At 54.0% G+C, this 19364-nt stretch overlaps 1 protein-coding gene and 1 long non-coding RNA gene across 22 annotated transcripts, besides 9 other annotated features; one reads left to right on the plus strand and one right to left on the minus strand.

Annotated features, from left to right (window-relative positions):
- Nucleotides 1-404: 404 nt before the first annotated feature.
- SLC25A39 (solute carrier family 25 member 39) lies at nucleotides 405-5600 on the minus strand. 21 transcript variants are annotated; one of them, NM_016016.4, is made up of 12 exons: nucleotides 5488-5600; nucleotides 4255-4354; nucleotides 4061-4120; nucleotides 3585-3629; nucleotides 3196-3305; nucleotides 2477-2544; nucleotides 2211-2335; nucleotides 1835-2008; nucleotides 1399-1508; nucleotides 1132-1213; nucleotides 973-1053; nucleotides 405-893 (listed from the first exon to the last, which is right to left on the minus strand). In NM_016016.4, the coding sequence occupies exons 2-12, from the start codon at nucleotides 4337-4339 to the stop codon at nucleotides 778-780; spliced, it is 1056 nt and encodes a 351-aa protein (NP_057100.1). In that variant the 5' UTR covers nucleotides 4340-4354; nucleotides 5488-5600; the 3' UTR covers nucleotides 405-777. The 21 variants fall into 21 exon arrangements, 16 of the variants coding, with proteins under 16 accessions (NP_057100.1, NP_001308170.1, NP_001137252.1 ...); NM_001321241.2 differs by having other exon boundaries at nucleotides 1399-1526; NM_001143780.3 differs by having other exon boundaries at nucleotides 3196-3329.
- Nucleotides 5143-5362: a silencer, noted in NCBI's record as "silent region_8588". NCBI's record gives its function as "represses an Ori minimal core promoter by ATAC-STARR-seq in GM12878 lymphoblastoid cells {active_cell/tissue: GM12878}" and the evidence as "EXISTENCE:reporter gene assay evidence [ECO:0000049][PMID:35858748]".
- Nucleotides 5383-5812: a silencer, noted in NCBI's record as "silent region_8589". NCBI's record gives its function as "represses an Ori minimal core promoter by ATAC-STARR-seq in GM12878 lymphoblastoid cells {active_cell/tissue: GM12878}" and the evidence as "EXISTENCE:reporter gene assay evidence [ECO:0000049][PMID:35858748]".
- Nucleotides 5913-6102: an enhancer, noted in NCBI's record as "active region_12255". NCBI's record gives its function as "activates an Ori minimal core promoter by ATAC-STARR-seq in GM12878 lymphoblastoid cells {active_cell/tissue: GM12878}" and the evidence as "EXISTENCE:reporter gene assay evidence [ECO:0000049][PMID:35858748]".
- Nucleotides 6230-8325, plus strand: LOC124904009 (uncharacterized). The gene is made up of 2 exons (XR_007065768.1): nucleotides 6230-6398; nucleotides 7719-8325. It is a non-coding gene; the product is annotated as an uncharacterized LOC124904009 (long non-coding RNA).
- Nucleotides 6263-6342: an enhancer, noted in NCBI's record as "active region_12256". NCBI's record gives its function as "activates an Ori minimal core promoter by ATAC-STARR-seq in GM12878 lymphoblastoid cells {active_cell/tissue: GM12878}" and the evidence as "EXISTENCE:reporter gene assay evidence [ECO:0000049][PMID:35858748]".
- Nucleotides 6393-6452: an enhancer, noted in NCBI's record as "active region_12257". NCBI's record gives its function as "activates an Ori minimal core promoter by ATAC-STARR-seq in GM12878 lymphoblastoid cells {active_cell/tissue: GM12878}" and the evidence as "EXISTENCE:reporter gene assay evidence [ECO:0000049][PMID:35858748]".
- Nucleotides 6523-7374: an enhancer, noted in NCBI's record as "H3K27ac-H3K4me1 hESC enhancer chr17:42403114-42403965 (GRCh37/hg19 assembly coordinates)". NCBI's record gives its function as "activates a minimal SCP1, AML or CMV promoter by ChIP-STARR-seq in naive H9 embryonic stem cells {active_cell/tissue: H9 hESC(naive)}" and the evidence as "EXISTENCE:reporter gene assay evidence [ECO:0000049][PMID:30033119]".
- Nucleotides 6633-6682: an enhancer, noted in NCBI's record as "active region_12258". NCBI's record gives its function as "activates an Ori minimal core promoter by ATAC-STARR-seq in GM12878 lymphoblastoid cells {active_cell/tissue: GM12878}" and the evidence as "EXISTENCE:reporter gene assay evidence [ECO:0000049][PMID:35858748]".
- Nucleotides 7347-8024: a transcriptional cis regulatory region, noted in NCBI's record as "candidate enhancer chr17.2878 targeted for multiplex CRISPR interference". NCBI's record gives its function as "positively regulates SLC25A39 gene expression in K562 cells {active_cell/tissue: K562}" and the evidence as "EXISTENCE:mutant phenotype evidence [ECO:0000015][PMID:30612741]".
- Nucleotides 7373-7472: an enhancer, noted in NCBI's record as "active region_12259". NCBI's record gives its function as "activates an Ori minimal core promoter by ATAC-STARR-seq in GM12878 lymphoblastoid cells {active_cell/tissue: GM12878}" and the evidence as "EXISTENCE:reporter gene assay evidence [ECO:0000049][PMID:35858748]".
- Nucleotides 8326-19364: the final 11039 nt, after the last annotated feature.

A 19364-nucleotide genomic window follows, 5' to 3' on the forward strand; every position in this document is an offset into this window, starting at 1 on the left:
CCCGAGTAGCTGGGACTACAGGCGCCCACCAGCATGCCCAGCTAATTTTTGTATTCTTAGTAGAGACGAGGTTTCACCGTGTTGGCTAGGATGGTCTCAATCTCCTGCCCTTGTGATCCACCTGCCTCGGCCTCCCAAAGTGCTGGGATTACAGGCGTGAGCCACCGTGCCCAGCCCCTACCACCCCCAATTCTAACCCTAACATGGGGGGGAGGTCCCCAAAGGGACCTCACCACCAGAATGTCTACTTGTGGTCCCTTACACTCTAGGTCCTCACCCCGACTCTCGCCAAACTGGAGAGGTCCTCTTCATAGGTGCCACTCTGGGCAGCCAAACCAGCACCAGGGTCCCTCCCAAGCCTCCCTCCCAGCCACCCCAGGCCCCAGAGGGACAGGCACCAGGCAGAAGTTCATCATCTTTAGACTTAAGGAATTAACAAGGGTCAGGGAGACTACACCAGGCTGAGGGCTTCTTGGTTCCTGGAGACATGCCCAGCTACAGCAAACACAGGGAAACACGAAGGGGGCAGCTGGAAGATTTGGTCTTGAACTTGGGGGGTGGGTAAGTGATGATCCCCACGACTGGAGCAGCAGGAAGAAGTTGTGTCTGAGGAAGTGCTGGGCCGCCCAGAGGGACAGCCCTGCCCTGGAGCTTGTCGCCGGGAGGGAAGGGAAACAAGCCCCCTCCCTCAGTGCTGAGGAAAAGGCACTTGGCTGGGTCTCCTCCTGCCCTCTCCCCATCCGTGGGAGAGACGGGGTCCTTGCCTCCTTGCCCCTTTCAGCCGCCCAGAAGCCGGTCCTGGTTCAGCCTCTGGAAGAAGCTTTTGCCGAACTCATAGGTGCTGATCATGATGGCACAGGAGGGGGCAGCCTTGATGATCCGAGGAAGGAAGCCTGCAGTGGAAAGGAGGCCCGTGTCAGGGGTCAGGTCGCAGGTCCGCCATGCCCCCACCCCCGACACCCACACACTGACCTGCAAAGAGTCCCTTGGTGCCCGACTCGGCCCGGATCCTCCGCAGCAGCAGCCAGGTGGAGTCCACATGCAGGGGGTTCACTGCAAACGCGAGGCCGGCTCAGTGAGACCCCATTCAGGACCCCACCTGTCCCCTGCCACGGCAATCTGGGCCCTCACCTCTCACAGCCTCCATCGCTCCCAGAGCGACCTGGCGTTGGGTCTTTACCACGTCAAAGGGTAGAGTCAGCACTGCAGCCACCTGGTGGGGTGGGCGGGGAGAGGGCTCAGCTCCACTTCCTGGACCCCCACCCCTACCTCCCAGATGGCTCTTGCGGCTGGGAGGGACAAAGGCCTCATGGGGTCTGCTTCTGGGCATCTCCAAAAATCCTCAGGCCCCCCGCAGGGAGACCTCCGCTGGCCTCACCTCCAGCCCAGTCCACTCACCGTCCCTGAGATGCCACCAGCCACAAAGCTCATGCCCACAGAAGTCTGGTCCTTCGGCCTGAACCCATTGAGCCAGCTCTTCACCAGCTCATAGTTGAACCAGTACAGGGCTTGGGGTGGGGGATGCACTGATTAGAGACGGGAAGGGCAAGGAAGTGGCCCCAGACCGTCCACCTTTCACTGCCACCACTCCCTCCCAGCTGTGAGTCTTGTCTGCTACATGCAGGCTCAGAAGCAGGCACTCTGTAGGAATTAATCTCCTGACCGCCTGGGCAAATACTCTACCTGCTAGGCCCACTTCACAGATGAGAAACCCATGGCTCAGAAAAGCTAAGTAACTTCATGGTCACTAGTCACAAAGCTGGGACTTGGCTGTAGACCCTTTGTGCATCACCCCAGGGTTCCCTCACCCACCCCCTGCAGCTTGGGTGCCTACCTGAGAAGGGCACATCTCGAAGGGCAGTGGGGCCCCAGCCCAGCCACAGTGAGCGCCAGCCACCCTGAGCCACTGCAGTTCGAACACAGGCACCCAGCTCCCGGTACGACACATGCTGAGCCTGCAGCTTTGTCCGCATAAGCTCCAGGGGGCTGATCACAGTCACGGTGCCCACTGTGTGGGGATTGGGGGTGACAATGGGGAGAAGTGAGATCACAGGTCTTACATGGCATCACCTACCTGCTGTCCCAGGTCTGGGGACCTAGAACACCCCCCTATCCCTAGGCTGGCAGAGGTTGGGGCTGGGAGCTGGGACTGACTGGGTTTGGGCCGAGGTGGGGACAGAGGGAGGTCAAAGGCCCAAGACTATGCTCACGGCGGGCCAGCGCGCCAGCCACCATGGGTGCGTAGAGGTCAGAGGTCAGGGCTCGACCACACAGGAAGGCCTTCAGTTGGTCATAGGCAGTGAAGTAGATGGCGGTAGCTGGCACAGTCATCACCCTGGGGATACAGAGAGAGGTTAGCTGGGACTCCCAAAAGGACCCAAACTTTTAAAGCATCACCTGCCCCACCTAGCCATTCAACAGGGAGCAAAGGGTCAGGAAGTACCAGAGGAGAGTGGTGCAGGACCCGGCTACTCACAGGGTGGCGGGGAGGCCGCTCCAGAGGGTCCTGGTGCCCTCGTGCCTCACGATCTTCACGAAGGCATCCTGGCCAAGCAGGCACCAGCCCAGGGGAAGAGGAGGGACACAAGTGATGTCTGTGATGGGGCTGGCCCAGGCTAGGCCTTTGCCTGACGCCCTCAGCCTCTGCCCACAGCCCTCAGGCCTCCCTGCCTCTACACATGCAGTACCCCAGCAGCTGGGTCCAGGCGGACACCTGGTCACCCTTCAAAAACCTTATGGAGGCCAGGCACGGTGGCTCACATATGTAATCCCAGCCAGCACTTTGGGAGGCCAAGGCGGATAAATCACTTGAGGCAGGAGTTCGAGACCAGCCTGGCCAACACGGCAAAACCCTGTCTCTACTAAAAATACAAAAATTAGCGGCAGGTGGTGGTGCACGCTTGTAATCCCAGCTACTTCGGAGGCTGAGACAGGAGAACCACTTGAACCCAGGAGACAGAGGTTGCAGTGAGCTGAGATCACACCACCGCACTCCAGCCTGGGTGACAGAGCGAGACTCTGTCTAAAAGAAAACAAACACCCCATGGAGGTACTGCCTTCTCCGGAAGCACTTCCTGACGGAACCGGCTACCTCTGCGTGCCTTGCCCAATCCCTTTACTCCTGGGTCTGCTGCCCAGCCAGACCGAACTCCTCACGGACACCGACGAATCCCTACGGACCCAGCTGCTCCTCACCATGGTGCCAGTGAAGCGGGTAGGGTCTTGAAACCAGGTGGCACAGCGGGCACCATTTGGGCACAGGTACAGAGGCTCCAGGACACCATTGCAATACAGGAGGCACTTCCCTGTGGATTGGAGAGAGGAGGGCACTGGGGAAAGGCAGGGGGCATTATAATGACAGGATCCTAGAACCTTGCAGGGAGGCAGTGGGCCCCTATCCCTGGAAGGCCAGTAAAGGCCAGGTCCCTGTGTGGATGTTCTGGTGCAGGTCACAGGACTGGCTGGCAGGACCTGGGAGTATATGCTAGTCCATGGCTGTGGAGCCCACTGGTGCCCTGGGGACAGGGACAAGGACTGTCTCCCCCTTGCACCCTCCCATGCTCCCTGTGGCTTGGGGCACTCACATTTGGTATAGGAGAGGCTCCACAGTCTGGAGGAAGGCATCAGCTCTAAAATACAAGGCAGCCCCTCAAGTCAGGAGAGCCCCCACCCGCCCTAGGGACCCCATCTCTGGGAGATCTTTTTATTTTATTTTTTGAGATGGAGTCTTGCTCTGTCGCCCACCCTGGAGCATAGTGGCACAATCTCAGCTCACTGCAACCTCCACCTTCCCGGTTCAAGCGATTCTCCTGCCTCAGCCTCCCAGGTAGCTGGGACTACAGGCGCATGCCACCAAGCCCGGCTAATTTTTGTAGTTTTAGTAGTGAGAGAGTTTCACCACGTTGGCCAGGCTGGCCTTGAACTCCTGATCTCAGGTGATCCACCCACCTCAGCCTCCCAAAGCGCTGGGATTACAGGTATGAGAAACCACGGCCAGCCTCTGGGAGATCTTTCTTTTGCCCAGGCACCACCCCTCACTAGTTCCAGGTCAGGTACTCACCGCTGGCCATGGAGGGCCGCTGAGACTGCAGGCGAACCTTCACCACGTCCAGGGGTGTCACTGGGGGAGGAAGCGGGTCTGAAGGCTCCTTTCAGGACCCCACCCCTAGGACTCCTCCCCCAGGACCACACAGCCTCCAATCTCCGGTCTGCCCCATCCCCACCCGCCCCCACCCCACCTCCCCTAGGTCTTACTGAAGAGAGAGGTAACCACAGCCCCGGTGCCTGAGGCCACCATTTGCTGGAGGGGGCTGATGCCCGCAGGGTCCTGGTCAGCCATCTTGAAGCTTCAGTCCTGAAAACCAAACCTCAAACAGACCACAACTCCAGGGATGGCAGGAAAGGAGGCTGGGCCACTGTGAGACTTTTGTTTTGAGACGGCGTCTCGCTCTGCGCACTGTTGCCAGGCTGGAGTGCAGTGGCACCATCTTGGCTCACTGCAACATCCACCCCCGTTCAAGCGGTTCTCTTGCTTCAGCCTCCCAAGTAGCTGGGACTACAGGCGCGCACCACCACGCCTAGTTAATTTTTGCATTTTTAGTAGAGACAGGGTTTCACCATGTTGGCCAAGATGATCTCGATCTCCTGACCTCGTGATCCGCCCGCCTCAGCCTCCCAAAGCACTGGGATTACAGGCGTGAGCCACCGCACCCGGCCCACTGTGAGACTTTAACCCAACCCTCATCCACCGCCCTCGAAACATCTGTTGCCTCAACAACCCTGGCAATGACCTCTAAAGCAGGGACTGTCCGCCCCCCTCCGCCGGGGAAAACTAAGGCTCGGGGAGACGAGGTGGCCTGCCCAAGGTCACTCAGGAGTGGTTCCGAAGGAAGCTAGGGTGCCAGACCTATCGCTCGAATGCAGTAGGAGCCAGGGTCCTTCCCTCGTCCACCTCGCACGTGTCCACTGCGCACCTCCTACGTGCAGGCGCGGATTTGGCCCTCGTGGCCCCAAAATCAGAGTACCTGTGCTGCCCCCACAGCCCCCACTCCAGCACCAAGGCCCCGGGCAGGCACCTGAGAGCCCAAGTTACTGGGCGTGGAGGGACGGCCGGGCATCGAGGGTGACGTGTAAACAGATCCGGTGACCAAGAAGGGCCCGTCGCCTCCTCAGGACTGCGGGCTGGGATGCCCGGCCCTCCCCGCCCGGCCGGACGGGCCAGACCCGGGGCCCGGAGAGAAAGAGCAGTCTCTGGGTTCCCGCCCCAAAATGCAGGCCCGGGGCGCAGCCGGGAGAGCGGGAAGTAGGAACGTAGGACCAGGACGTCTCCCCGACCCTCGGCGACACTCCCGGCCCCGAACGGCGGAGAGCCGCCAGGTGAGGGGGACCACGCCAGCTCGACGGCCCCAGCACCTGCCCTGGCTCGCACGGCCGCCCGGAGACCCCCGCTTCCGTCTCCGCCCCCAGCCCCGGCCCAGTGCCGCCTACCTGGCTCTAGGCTGGTGCTCGTGCGGCGCGGCGCCCAGGGTCAGGCGGGCCCATACCGGCTCCGCCGCCTGTGCGCGGTCCGCGCGCGCTCGCAGCGCACCTAGGCCGACGCCGAAAGCAGCCAAGGGGGCCCCGCCCCTACACCGCGCCACGAGGCCCCGCCCGCCGCGGGCCGACCAGCCGCAAGCCCGGAGTGTCCCCGGCTCCGCCCACTCGCGTCTCCGCCCGGACCTGCGACGGTCCCGCCCCCTTGACGGGGCCGCGCGGGCGAGTTCCATGCCTGTCCAGCGCTGAGAGCTGCCGGCCAACTTCGCGGTCTCCACGTCGCGCTTAACGTGGCAGCAGCACGCACTTCCAGCATCTTTTTTTAGACAGCATCTTTTTCAGCCTCGCTCTGTCGCCGAGGCTGGAGGGCAGTGGCGCGATCTAGGCTCACTGCAGCCTTGACCTCCCGGGTTCAAGCGATCCTCCTGCCTCAGCCTCCGGAGTAGCTGGGACCACAGGCGCGCGCCGCCACGCCCGGCTGGTTTGTTACTTTTATTTTTGTCTCCCTATTTTGCCCAGGCTAGTCTGGAACTCCTGGGCTCAAGCGATCCGCCCACCTCGGTCTTCGAAAGTGCTGGGATTCCAGGCGTGAGCCGCCGCGCCGGCCTTAACAGCGCATTTTCACCAGCCCCGCCCCGGCCGCGCGCGGCACTGGAAACCCCAGCGCCTTCTGGACGGCGAGGGTGACGCACTGGCCCTCTTCCTCGGTGTCCTCAGGTGCGTGGCGGCGGCAGTGAGAATGAGTTCTTCGAGATCGCCGGGAGACCACACAATAACGACGAAGTTACTTGCCGGGCTACCCGCCGAGACTTGAAAACTTCGCGGCGACTTCTCTCGCCGGCCTTAGCATCGCCCCCATTTTTCAGGTTACAGGACAGGCCTGCAACTGCAAAACGCTTTGTAAACCACAGGGCCCCGCGCGGGTGTGCGCCACTGGGTTAGCTGAGCTGCAGCCCGGGCCGGGCGGGCTGGGACGTGAGCAAGCCGGGGGAGACGGGAGAGCCATGGGGAGCCAGATCCCACCTTCGCGTGACCTTGGGCAAATCACAACCTCGCCTAAGGCCCGGAATGACTCTGCGCGGAGAGGAAGAGCACTGAGTGCGGGAGGGCATCGACGTTTTGGTGTTGGTTGCTCTCGTATCGTGATTTCTTCTGAGTCTCAAAACTCTTTGCAGTAGGTTATTGTTGAAATAGATTACCACAGGCCGGGCGCGGTGGCTCACGCCTGTAATCCAGCACTTTAGGAGGCCGAGGCGGGCGGATCACTTGAAGTCAGGAGTTCGAGACCAGCCTGGCCAACATGGTGAAACCCCGTCTCTACTAAAAATACAAAAGTAGCCGGGCATGATGGCTGGCGCCTGTAATCCCAGCTACTCGGGAGGCTGAGGCAGGAGAATCGCTTGAACCCGGCCGGCGGAGGTTGCAGTGAGCCGAGATCGCACCACTGCATTCCAGCCTGGGCAACAGAGTAACACTCCGTCTCAAAAAAAAAGGCCGGGCGCAGTGGCTTACGCCTGTAATCCCAGCCTTTTTGGAGGCCGAGGCGGGCGGATCACCAGAGGTCAGGAGTTCGAGAGCAGCCTGACCAACATGGTGAAACCTCGTCTCTACTAAAAATACAAAAAATTAGCCGGGCGTGGTGGCGCATGCCAGTAATCCCAGCCACTCGAGAGGCTGAGGCAGGAGAATCGCTTAAACCCGGAAGGCGGAGGTTGCGGTGAGCCGAGACTGCGCCATTGCACTCCAGCCTGGGCAACAAGAGCGAAACTCCGTCTGAAAAAGAAATAGATTACCCCGTTTTACAGAAAGTGAAACTGAGGCTCGACGTGAAGAGCCGGAGATTCGAACCGGCCGGGTGCTTTTCCCAGGGCTCCACACTGCCTCCCCGGGAGACAGGAAGGCTTAAGTCCAGCGCTGCCCTCTCCGATCCCGCTTGTCAGGGAGACACTTTATTTCCCGGGGCAGCCCCGTACCCCAGGCCCCACCACCCACTTCGCGTTTAGAACTTCTGTGCTATCTTGCTTATTTGTCCTAACAGAGAAACCAGCACGCGCGGGCGGTGGCGGAGGGGGGCGGGCGGGCGGGTGGAGGCGGGGGGGGGCGGGCGGGGAGATGGGTACTCCTAGCCTGCGCCTTTAAGAAGGGTAGGCCTCGACTTTGACGTCTCTGCCTTCCCCGCCCTTCAGGCCCCCACTGGTCGCGTCCGGCGCTGGAGGAGCCCAGTCAGCCGGCGCCTGCCGGGTTAGCACGTGGACTCCGAGGGGCCAACTATCAGCTTTCCCTGACAAAATGCCTTTGAGCTCCCCCACAGCTCTGAAACTCCAGCTTGGGAGCAGGGAGAGTGCAATCTGTGACCTGTAAAGGGGCGCTGGGCAAAAGGGCCCGAGAGAAGGCGTCCTTTCCATTCCCTTCCCATCTCAAGCTGAGTTCAGAAATGACACGAAATAATTTAATCAACTATCAGTCAAGGTCGGGCTCACGCCTGTAATCCCAGCAGTTTGGGAGGCCGAGGTGGGCGGATCACCTGAGGACAGGAGTTCGAGACCAGCCTGACCAACATGACGAAGCCCCGTCTCTACTAAAAATACAAAAATTAGCCAGCGGTGGTGGTGCGCACCTGTAGTCTCAGCTACTTGGGAGGCTGAGGCCAGAGAATCGCTTGAGCCCGCGAGGTCGAGGCTGCAGTGAGCCGAGATCACACCACTGCACTCCAACCTGGATGACAGAGGGAGACTCTGTCTCAAAAAATAATAAATAAATAAATAAATAAATAAACTATCGGTCAAGGTGAAAGCCTACTCTCCGCCAAGGTTCTTTACAACTTAGACGTTTTGGTTTACGGAACAGGGGAGGAAACTGAGGGCTCTTGTGTGTAGTGACTTTACTCGTGTGGAGGAGAACCCAGACTTTCCCTGCACACACTCTCCCGTTTTATGGATGAGAAAAGGGGGGCCCCAAAGGTCAAATCGCCCCAAGGTCACTCAAATGAAAGAGTCAGCATTAGACCCCCCAACGTGCCTGAGCCAGATGGGCTCCCACCCTGTCCAGTTCTCAACCCAGGTGCTGTGTTCCAGCAGCACCCTGACCTGGCTTTCCATCTCACCTGCCTCTTACAAGCAAGTGTCTTAAGGCCTCTAAGCCTTAGTTTCCCCATTTACAAAATGGGCTGATGGTGATGATAACGCACCTTCCTCTAGGGATTATGTAAGGATTTAATGCATTAATGGCTGTGACGTGCTTAGAACCCTGGCAAGTGGCAAGCATTCTATGACAACTACTACTATTGCTGTTACTGTATTGTTGTTAATTGCTCTCTAGAACCTGTGGCATGGAAAGTTCCCCAGATTCTGGCCCCACCTCTGCCTCCAGTATGCAGTGATGGATAATAATAACTTCTTATACCCAGAACGAAGGTCACCAGTGCAAAGTAGCACAGCCAGGAATCAAACCTGGGGACCTCTGAGCCTGTTTCCCCAACAGTACATTGAGGGCCTTGCACTCCATTTCTGGTTTTCTTTTTGTGATGCTCTTAAATAGGATCCTTAGAGATTTGTGGATACACCTGTTTCCTCATCTGAAAATAAGGACGATATCACCTGCTCTGCCTAACGTACAGATTCTTAATATCATGTCTCTGAAAGCTACATGAAGAGTCAATAAACAGTTCTGTGAGACCTGCCAGGGGCCCAGAGCCGCGTGGATCACAGTCCTTACCTTCTCCAGAATGTAAATGCTTTGAAGCTTAGAGAACCATGAGGCCTCATGGGTGTGACCAAAGCAGTGGCCGCTGGAGAGGTTATCCATGGGTGATGGGACACCTCGGGACCTCGTGAAGTCTCTCCCAAGAATGACCGTGGCAGTTCAGGGTGGAGGAGGAGCTTTGACATGCTCCAGAAGCTATGGAGCCCTGACTCAACACGCCCACCCTCGAGGAGCAAGCCTGGAAGGCTGCAGAGGTGGCCACTGGCCTGGCTGACTCAGGCAAGGTTTACATTGGTTATGCACCCAGTGGTCCTTCCAGAGGCAACATGTGGCCCCATGTGGCCATCTGCAGCTTCCTCGCACAGATGGAAAAGCAGAAACTCTCCCTTTTTAACTGTAAAAGGGGAGAAGAAAGTACCAGCTGCAGGGGTGGTTGTGGAGACTGAAGGACCAGTCCTCACCTGATACCCAAGGGGCCAGTTTATTACAAGGCTGAATTTGTCCAAGGCAAGCCCTGGGACAGGGGCAGTGTCCCCTCCAGCTTGAACCCCCAGGGCCTAGGAAGACATCTCTGGGGCTGATGGAGGACTCAAGGGCTTCACCCATGGATGGGACCCCACCAGCACCTCTGAGTCCAGGGCCAGCACTGTCTGCATCTAGAGTAGTCTCCCAAAGCAGGGCCCAGGGCTGCAGAACCACTGAGGCCCCCTACTGCCCAGAGGAAAAGTCCAAATCCCAGGCCCATAGCAAATGTAGTCTGATCTTTTTTTTTTTTTTTTTTTTTTTTTTGAGACGGAGTCTCGCTCTGTCGCCCAGGCTGGACTGCAGACTGCAGTGGCGCAATCTCGGCTCACTGCAAGCTCCGCTTCCCGGGTTCACGCCATTCTCCTGCCTCAGCCTCCCGAGTAGCTGGGACTACAGGCGCCCGCCACCGCGCCCGGCTAATTTTTTGTATTTTTAGTAGAGACGGGGTTTCACCTTGTTAGCCAGGATGGTCTCGATCTCCTGACCTCATGATCCACCTGCCTCGGCCTCCCAAAGTGCTGGAATTACAGGCGTGAGCCACCGCGCCCGGCCTGTAGTCTGATCTTTAATGGATTCTGAGGGTGGAAAGGAGTAGGGGAGTGATGGAGGACTTTATTGGAACAAGTGGAGAAAAGGGAATAAGGTCTGTATGCTAATTACTCTTTTTTTTTTTTGAGACGAAGTCTTGCTCTGTACCACAATGCCCGGCTAATTTTTTTTTGTTTATTTATTTATTTATTTATTTATTTATTTATTTATTTATTTATTTTTGGAGAGACCGGGTTTTCCATGTTGGCCAGGCTGGTCTCAAACTCCTGACCTCAGGTGATCCACCCACCTTGGCCTCCCAAAGTGCTGGGATTTCAGGCATGAGCCACCATGCCTGGCCTCCCAGGTTCAAGCAATTCTCCTGTCTCAGCCTCCCGAGTAGCTGGGATTACAGGTATGCACCACCATGCCTGGCCAATTTTTGTATTCTCAGTAGAGACAGGGTTTTGCAATGTAGGCCGGGCTGGTCTTGAACTACTGACTTCAGGTGATCCACCCACCTCGGCCTCCCAAAGTGCTGGAATTATAGGCGTGAGCCACAGCACCTGGCCAATATTACTTTATCAGTGTTAAAATTTCTGGAGTGATAACAATACTGTGATTTTGTAGGAGAATGCCCTGTTCTTAGGAAACACATACTGTAGTGTTTAGGGATGAATAAAGTGTTGTGATGTCTGTAACTTAGTCCTAAATGGCTCAGCAAAAAAAGAAGCCAGGCATGGTAGCTCATGCCTGTAATGGAGGCTGAGGCAGCAGGAGGATCGCTTGAGCCCAGGAGTTTGAGACCAGCCTGGGCAACATAGGGAGACCCTGTCTCTTATAAAAAACAAAAAAAAAATTAACTGGGTGTGGTGTTGTGCACCTGTAGTCTCAGCTACTTGGGAGGCTGAGGTGGGAGGATTGCTTGAGCCCATGAGGTGGAGGCTACAGTGAGCAGTGATTGTGCCACTGCACTCCAGCCTGGGTGACAGAGCAAGATCTTATCTCAAAAAAAAAAAAAAAAAAAAAGCCAGTGTAGCAAAATGTTAGCCCCATCTCTACTAAAAATACAAAAATTAGCCAGCCGTGGTTGCGGGTGCCTATAATCCCAGCTACTCAGGAGGCTGAGGCGGGAGAATCGCTTGAACCCAGGAGGTGGAGGTCACAGTGAGCTGAGATCACACCACTGCACTCCAGCCTGGGTGACAGAGCGAGACTCCGTCTCAAAGAAAAAAAAAAAAGAAGATATATATATATATATATATGCATACGTGTGTGTATGTGTGTGAGTGTATATATATGTATATTTGTGTGTGTGTGTGTGTGTATATATATATATATATATATATATATATATATATATATATATATATAAAACAGCTGGGATCAGCCCAATTTGGGGAAGTCCTCCCTGTCTCCCCCTGCCTCTGTGGCCTGAGAAGGTGGGCTGGAAGTGTCTAGGCACCCAAGGCTTTATTGGGGGGCCCTGGGTGTGGTCTGAGGAGGTGGGCCCCTAGAGGGAGAGGGTCCTGGCTAAGACTTTCCAGCATGTCCCCCAGCCTGGGTCCCAGAGCTCTGCTGGGACAGCGTGGATTAATATGGAAGGTAGTTTTAGCCATAGCTATGAAAATTCTAAACGCCAAACCCTTGATCCAGCCAGGCCACTTCTAAGCGTTTCTCTAGTCATCTGCTCATACAAGTGTGAAATGATGGTACCAGCTTGGCCTTCTTCATTGCAGCCTTCTTTGTAACAGCAGAACATCCCGTGAAAGGGAACTGTTAAGTACGTGACCCTATCTCCATGTGACAAATCCACACAGCCTTGAAAGGGCGGCATTCCCTGACCTATCCAGGTGGGGTGGGGGGTGAGGGCTGCAGATCTCTATATCATTATGTAAAACAATCTCAAAGACAGAGTTAAATTAAACAGCAGGTGCTGAGAGCGTGCTGGACACTCGTTCCAAACAGCAGCGTTACTGCCCCCTAGAGGACATTTTTTGAAATTTATGCGGCCACTGTCATTTCTGGTTGTCACAAGACTGGGGCTTCTGGCATTTGATAGATGGCAGGTCAGGGAAGCTAAATGCCCTGTAAGGTGTAGGACAGTCTGACACAATAGGGAATTTCCAACAACAAGAACACATCTCTCAATTTCCTTCTGTCTTTCTGGGCAATTACATACATGAGGAAATGTTTGCAATTCTCAGACCTGGAAAATGGTTCTGTTTTACCCATATACCCACACCTTTTTTTTTTTTTTTAGACAGGGTCTCTCACTCTGTCGCTGGTTGGAGTGCAGTAGCACGATCACAGCTCACTACAGCCTCGACCTCCCCGGCTCAAGCGATCCTCCCACCTCAGCCTCCCGAGTAGCACACTCCTCTGCCTGACTAATTCGTTTGTATTTGTTGTAGAGACAGGGTTTCGCTATGCTGCCCAGGTTGTAACCATACTTCTTTTGAATACTTATATTCTGCTATGCATTGAGTTTTCCAGGAATAAAACCACTCTGCAGTTGTATGGAAAATTGGGTTTTGTCTTCAAGAACTTTACCGAAGGTCATTTGCCATTTCATTTTTTGTTTGGTTTGTTTTGTTTTTTTGAGATGGAGTTTTGCTCTTGTCGCCCAGGCTGGAGTGCAGTGGTACGATCTTGGCTCACTGTAACCTCTGCCTCCTGGGTTCAAGCAATTCTCCTGCCTCAGCCTCCCAAGTACACGCCCAGCTAATTTTGTATTTTTAGTAGAGACAGGGTTTCCTCATGTTGGTCAGGCTGGTCTCAAACTCCCGACCTCAGGTAATCTGTCTGCCTCGGCCTCCCAAAGTGCTGGGATTACAGGTGTGAGCCACCGTGCCTGGCCTTTTTTTTTTTTTTTTTTTTTAAGACGGGACCTCACTGTTGCTCAGGCTGGAGTGCAGTGGTGTGATCATAGCTCACTGCAGCATTGAATCCCTGAGCTCAAGTGATCCTAGTGCTTCACCTTCTCAAGTAGCTGGGACTACAGGAGCGTGCCACCTCGCCTGGCTAATACATATATATATATATTTTTTTGAGTCAGGGTCTCTCACTCTGTTGCCCAGGCTGGAGTGCCGTGGCACAATCACAGCTCGCTGCAGCCTCGACGTCCTGGATTAAAGCGATCCTCCCACCTCAGCTCTCTCCCCCCTCCCCCCACCAGTAGCTGGGACCACAGTCACGCACCACCACGCCCAGCTAATTTTTGTTTATTTTTTATAGAGAAGGGGTGTCAGTATGTTGCCCACGATGGTCTCAAACTCCTGGGCTCATGTGATCCTCCTGCATCCACCTCCCAAAGTGTCAGGATTACACCACAGGGCCCAGCCTTAGTCATTTCACTGTAAGATGGGAATAATAATTGTACTACCTCAAAGGATTGTGTTACAGATTAAAGAGCATAATACAGAACCTGGCACAATATAAATCTCAATAAACAGTAACAGGACCTACCTTTTAAAAACACTGAAATGAAGTATGCCAGCTATCATCCTAGCAGAAGAGATTGAATTAAAGTCCCCTTATATGTATTTGAGTACAGATTTCTCTGCTAATTCAGAGAATTAGGGGACCTTGTCTCCATCCTGGGTCTCAGTTTCTTCATCTTTAAAATGGAAAACTGGGTGTGGTGGCTCACGCCTATAATCCCAGCACTTTGGGAGCCCAACGTGGGCAGATCACCTGAGGCCAGGAGTTCGAGACCAGCCTGATCAACATGGTGAAACCCCATCTCTACTAAAAATGCAAAAATTAGCTGGGCGTGGTGGTGCACACCTGTAATCCCAGCTACTTGGGAGGCTGAGGCACAAGAATCGCTTGAACCTGAGAGGCAGAGGGTGCAGTGAGCTGAAATCACACCACTGCACTCCAACCTGGGCAACAGAGCGATTCTCTGTCTCAAAAATAAATAAATAACCAAATTAAAATAAAAAATAAAATAAAATTGAAAGGATAGTACTCCTGGCCCCACTTCCTTCCTAGGGCTGCCAAGGTCTAAGCTGAGAGATGAGGGGTGTGGCAACAGTGCATGACAGGGAAAGCTGGCCTGGGGCGGGCCGCTCCTTCTCCCTTCCTGTCCTCCGTGCAGCTGACTTCTCCCTGCCCTTCTCTGGGTTCTGGAGATGACTCTGACCCAACCTCTCTGAGCTCTCTGAGTGGGGCAGCTTCCTCACCTAGGCCCTGGCCTATTGCTTCAGAGACAGGTCCCCACCGGGTTAACAAGAGGAACCCCTTTGATGTCCTAAAAAGAATTCCTCCTGTTTTTAATGTGCCAGTTTACAAGATCTCTTCACATCCATCATCCCGTTTGAACCTCACATGACTGTGTGGAGGGCAAGCGGGGGTTATTGTGTACACATTTTACAGATGAGGAAACCGAGTCTTGGAGGAGTTGAGTAATCCATTCAAGTCAGTTGGAGCAGACATCTCCTGACTCACAGGGGGCCCACCTGGAGAAAGGCCAGGGGCACTCAGGTGGGCTGGCAGGGCTGGGAGGGCTGGGAGGGAGGATCAGGGCCGTGAGCTGAGCTGGCATCGGCATCCAGTGGAGCTGGTGAGGTGGGCAAAACTCTGGGCTCTGATTGATTTGCACTCAGACACCAACACCACTGCATCCTAGCTAATGACTGGATAAGACTTTAGCATCTCATATGCCTGTGAATGGAGATCATTCTCTGGAGTGTTACAGGAACTCTGCATTTGAAACACAGGCCTGATTCTTGCCATCTCTACTCCTGCTCCCAGCTCTCACAGCCAGAGTCAACAGTGCCCGCCTGTCCTTCCACTGCCACCACCCAAACTGTCTACCTGCTGCCCTTAACAACAGATAGGATCCAACTCCTAGAGTCCCCAAGCAATTCAGGGACCACTCAGAGGTGAAACAACCCCAACCATTCTCAACCTTAGCAAAAGGAACAGGGTGGTGAAGGGTACTCCCCATGCCCATAGGGACACAGGACACTGGCCAGACCACCAAGTGGCGCCTGGCCCCCCATGGGCCTTCCTGACCCGGTAGCCACCCCTCCCAGGGGAAGGACACAGTGTTCTCAGATGTGGGCCCAGGGGCTGTGTCATGGAGGAGCTGGGAAGGGTTTAGAGGACCTGGGTTTCTGTCTTTGGTTTTTTTTTTTCTTTCCACTCTAGTAAAATCAAATTTTATATCATTGATTTTGTAAAGTTTAATTGGAAAATGAATTTCTTTGTGTTGAATAAGTGCAATTTGCTGGTCAAAATTCATTCAAACATAGGAGTGAGAGAGGAGGAAGTGACTGTTTATTGAGGAACTGTGATGTGCCAGGCACTCCACAAGATGTTTTGCTCATTCAGGCCTCCTGAGCACCCTGGGAGACAGGCATTCCAATGAGCCCATTTCACAGATGAAGGCATTTAGGGTCAAAACAATAAGCCAAAGTCACCCAGCTGGCAGGAGGCCACGCTGGAATCCAAGCTCAGCAGACAGTGAAGAGGCCCGTTTGCTCTGCTCCCAGCCTGTCTGCTAGGCTTGCAGAAAAGCACTGACTCTTGTCCTCTGGCACCTGCCACCTGCCTGTCTGGGGTGGGAAAGGCGAGAGGACAAGGGTGCTGCTTTTTGTTATAATTTGATTAAAATGCATTTGTGGCCGGGCGCGGTGGCTCATGCCTGTGATCCCAGCACTTTGGGAGGCTGAGGCAGGCGGATCGCTTGAGCTCAAGAGTTTGAGACCTGCCTGGGCAACATAGTGAAACCCTGTCTCTACCAAAAATACAAAAAAGTAGCCAGGCGTGTTGGTGTGTACCTGTGGTCCCAGCTACTTAGGAAGCTGAGGCAGGGGGATCGCTTGAACCTGGAAGGTGGAGGTTGCAGTGAGCTGAGATCGCGCCACTGCACTCCAGCCTGGGTGAGCGAGACCGTGTCTCAAAAAAAAAAAAAAAAAGTATTTGCATATGACACTTTGTTAAAACAGTGCCATGGCTCACGCTTGTAATCCCAGCATTTTAGGAGGATCACTTGAGCCCAGGAGTTCGAGACCAGCTTGGGCAATACAACCAGACCCCATCTCTACCAAAAAATAAAATAAAATTAGTCGGACACGGTGGTGTGCACCTGTAGTCCCAGCTACTCTGGGGACTTAAGTGGGAGGATCAATTGAGCTCAGGAGTTCAAGGCTGCAGTGAGCCATGATCATACCACTGTACTCCAGCTTAGGTGACAGAGTAAGACCCTGTGTCTAAAAAGCAAACAAACAAAAAACAAACAGTTATTGAGTGAAAAACAAAACAGAGAAGTGGCTTATCCACTGTCACTGGGCAAGTTCACGGCTTATGCTGGGATGGGAACATGGGTCTCCTGACTGTGGTCAGTACTTCTGTTCCCAAATACCCTGCCACAGCCTCTAGCCTGGGCACTGGGCTGTTCCTGCTTCTCCTCCCTCATTACCCCCCCATAGCCCAGTAACCCCCCACCCCTAGCTCTGGTTTCCCTTTCTGCCTAAAGGGAGACGCTCTGTCCTGATATGGAGCATTCCCCCCAGGACCCCCAGCCCTACCACTCATGAGTTGGAATAGTTCCGAAAGGACATAGCCTGTCTGCTCCTGCTATCTCTGCCTGCCGTGTGGGGAGCTGGTCCAGAATGATGGAGCCCCTGGGGAGCAAGGGGTCGTGTCCAGCTTGGGAGGGCTTCTGGAGACCTGGCCCGAGTCCCAGATCCTTCTTGAACTAGAAAAATGCCTGCTGTTTTTAGTGCATTCTCAGTTGACAAAGCATTTTCTTACCTCTAATCCCATTGGATCTTTATAATGAAGAAGGAATTCCCTGTCAATCTGCATTGTATTTTATTTAATTAATTTATTTATTGGTTTTGAGACAGAGTCTCGCTCTGTTGCCCAGGCTGGAGTGCGGTGGCATGATCTCGCCTCACTGCAACCTCCGCCTCCTGGTTCAAGCAATTCTAGTGCCTCAGCCTCTCAAGTAGCTGGGATTATAGGGGTGTGCCACCACACCTGGCTAATTTTTTTAAAAAATTTACTTATTTATTTTGAGACGGAATCTTGCTCTGTCGCCCAGACTAGAGTGCAGTGGCGTGATCTCAGCTCACTGTAACCTCCATCTCCTGGGTTCAACTGATTCTCTCACCTCAGCTTCCCGAGTAGCTGGGATTACAGGCGCCCGCCACCATGCCCGGCTAATTTTTGTATTTTTAGTAGAGATGAGGTTTCACCATGTTAGCCAGGCTGCTATCGAACTCCTGACCTCAAATGATCTGGCTGCCTCAGCCCCCCTGCATTGCATTTTAAATCTGAGAGACAGAGGCTGAGAGTGGCCTGTGTCTAGCACCAGGACAGGCTACACAGTTTGGAGGTCCAGTGCAAATGAAAATGTGGGTCTCCTTGTTCAAAAGTATTAGGACTCTGGCCAGGTGCGATGGCTCACGCCTGTAATCTCAGCACTTTGGGAGGCTGAGGCGGATGGATCACCTGAGATCAGGAGTTTGAGACCAGCCTGGCCAATGTGGTGAAAGCCCGTCTCTACTAAAAATACAAAAATTAGCTGGGCATGGTGGCAGATGCCTGTAATCTCAGCTACTCAGGAGGCTGAGGCAGGAGAAGCACTTGAACCCAGGAGGCGGAGGTTGCAGTGAACCGAGATCACGCCATTGCACTCCAGCCTGGGTGACATATAAGGTCCAGCCCTACGGGGCTTAGCAGGTGTTCTCCCCGTGTGCGGAGATGAGAGATCATAAGAAATAAAGACACAAGACAAAGAGATAAAGAGAAAACAGCTGGACCCTGGGGACCACTACCACCAAGACGCGGAGACCGGTAGTGGCCCCGAATGGCTGGGGGCACTGACATCTATTGCATACAAGACAAGGGGGGCAGGGTAAGGAGGGTGAGTCGTCCAAGCGATTGATAAGGTCAAGCAAGTCAAGTGATCATGGGATAGGGGGCCCTTCCCTTTTAGGTAGCCAAAGCAGAGAGGGAAGGCAGCATATGTCAGCGTTTTCTTCTATGCATGTATCAAAAAGATCAAAGACTTTAAGGCTTTCACTATTTCTTCTACCACTATCTACTACGAACTTCAAAGAGGAATCCAGGAGTATGGGAGGAACATGAAAGTGGACAAGGAGCGTGACCACTGAAGCACAGCACCACAGAAAGGGGTTTAGGCCTTGGGATGACTGCGGGCAGGCCTGGATAATATCCAGCCTCCCACAAGAAGCTGGCGGAGCAGAGTGTTTCCTGACTCCTCGAAGGAAAGGAGACTCCCTTTCTTGGTCTGCTAAGTAGCGGGTGCCTTCCCAGGCACTGGCGTTACCGCTTGACCAAGGAGCCCTCAAGCGGCCCTTATGAGGGCGTGACAGAGGGCTCACCTCTTGCCTTCTTGGTCACTTCTCATAATGTCCCTTCAGCACCTGACCCTATACCCTCCGGTTATTCCTTGGTTATATTAGTAATACAACAAAGAGTCATATTAAAGGCTAATAATTAATAATGTCTATACTAATGATTGATAATGCCCATGACCATCTCTATATCTAATTTGTATTATAACTATTCTCATTCTAACTATTTTCTTTATTATACTGAAACAGTCTGTGCCTTCAATCTCTTGCCTCGGCACCTGGGTAATCCTCCGCCCACAGTGACAAGAGTGAAACTCTGTCTTAAAAAAAAAAATTAAGAATTTCAAGATAGGACAGCAGAGCTTTAAATTTTTTTTTTTTCCTAGAGGCAGAGTCTTGCTCTCTTGCCCAGGCTGGGGTGCATTGTTGCAATCACATATCACTGCAGCCTTGAGCTCCCGGGCTCAAGTGGTCATCCTGCTTTGGCCTCCCAAAGTCCTGGGATTACAGGCGTGAGCCACTGCACCCGGCCTGTAGAGCTTTAAACAAAGCACAGGCTGCTTCTGAGCACAGGGCCCTCGTCACATGGCTATGAAGCCAGCCCTGCCTGGACCCAGAACCCTGGTGTGGGCACTTTATAGCTTATAAGCCCTCCAGTCAAGAGGCCTCAGCCTGAGCCTCCCTGAGCCTCAGTTTCCTCTCCTGTAATCTGTGAAAGCACTGAGCACTAATCTCCCTTCC

Source organism: Homo sapiens, chromosome 17 (assembly GCF_000001405.40).
Source record: "Homo sapiens chromosome 17, GRCh38.p14 Primary Assembly".
Taxonomy (NCBI): domain Eukaryota; kingdom Metazoa; phylum Chordata; class Mammalia; order Primates; family Hominidae; genus Homo; species Homo sapiens.